Raw genomic sequence first — 1,717 nt, forward strand, 5'->3', positions numbered from 1 at the left:
CTCATGCCTGTAATCCCAACACTTTGGGAGGCTGAGGCGGGCGGATCACGAGGTTAGGAAATCGAGACCATCATGGCTAACATGGTGAAACCCCGTCTCTACTAAAAATACACAAAATTAGCCGGGCGTGGTGGCGGGCACCTGTAGTCCCAGCTACTCAGGAGGCTGAGGCAGGAAAATGGCGTGAACCCGGGAGGCGGAGCTTGCAGTGAGCTGAGATTGCACCACTGCACTCCAGCCTGGGCGACAGAGCAAGACTCTGTCTCAAAAAAAAAAAAAAAAAAAAAAGTCACCTGGATGAAGCCTGTGCAGCCATTTCAGCCAAAGATGCTACTGGAGATGATGCCCAACACAAAGAGAGGGCAGAAATACCCCAGCTTCCCCTCCTGCCTTCCAGCCTCCCACCAGTGCCTTCCATTGACTGAGCCCAGCAGGAAGGCTGGAAAGCTCAGTCTGCGTGTTCATCACCTTGGGAAACGGAGCAGAGCAGGCGGAAGGGTAAGGAGGGGATCGGATGTCATTCAGGCAAATGACAAGTACACTAAATATTCACCCACTCGATACATATTTATTGAGTGCCGGGAGCCACGCTAAGTGCTGAGGCTACTGCCTTGCTCAAAGCAGACAAAGTCCCGTGGTTGGAGATTGGAATTGTTTTAGGATGCCAGTGAGAAGCCTAAACCGCAGGAAGACACACGGTCTCAACCACATGCTATAGCAATTACTTATATATAACATTTCCCTAACCAGACAACATGCTGGCATTGGCAGATGTTAAATGAACCAAACTGAAATACAATACACTTCTCAATTTAACCCCTCTCCAGAAAGAAGCACATGAATTTGGCAGCTCCTTTAAAGATGCTAATAAGTTTGAAACATCCTTTCTATTGCCTCATGGCTCTATCACGGGAAGTACTTACAGTTTTGGAGTTACCGTTCATCTAAATTCTTTGATATAATTACATTGCTAGGACACTTTTTTTTTTTTTTTTGAGTTGGAGTCTCGCTCTGTTGCCCAGGCTGGAGTGCAGTGGCACGATCTCGGCTCACTGCAACCTCTGCCTCCTGAGTTCAAGCGATTCTCCTGCCTCAGCCTCCCAAGTAGCTGGGACTACAGGCGCCACCATCACGCCTGGTTAATTTTTTGTATTTTTAGTAGAGACAAGGTTTCACTATGTTGGCCAGGCTGTTCTTGAACTCCTGACCTCAGGTGATCTGCCCGCTTCAGCCTTCTAAAGTACTGAGATTACAGGTGTGAGCCATCATGCCCGGCGTTTTTTTTTTTTCAGTCTCACTCTGTTGCCCAGGCTGCAGTGCAGTGGCACGATCTCGGCTCACTACAACCTCCGCCTCCTGGGTTCAAGCAATTCTCCTGCCTTAGCTTCCCAAGTAGCTGGGATTACAGGCGCCCACCACCACACCCGGCTAATTTTTGTATTTTTAGTAGAGACAGGGTTTCACCATGTTGGCCAGGCTGGTCTTGAACTCCTGACCTTAAGTGATCCATCCGCTTCATCCTCCCAAAGGCATGAGCCGTCCTGTCCGGCCATGATATATTCGTTTTTTGTTTTGTTTTTGTTTTTTTTTTTTGAAACGGAGTTTCACTCTTGTTGCCCAGGCTAGAGTGCAGTGGCACAATCTCCGCTCACTGCAACCTCCGCCTCCTGGGTTCAAGTGATTCTCCTGCCTCAACCTCCCAAGTAGCTGGGATTAC

The sequence above is a fragment of the Homo sapiens genome, chromosome 12, assembly GCF_000001405.40.
Source record: "Homo sapiens chromosome 12, GRCh38.p14 Primary Assembly".
NCBI lineage: Eukaryota > Metazoa > Chordata > Mammalia > Primates > Hominidae > Homo > Homo sapiens.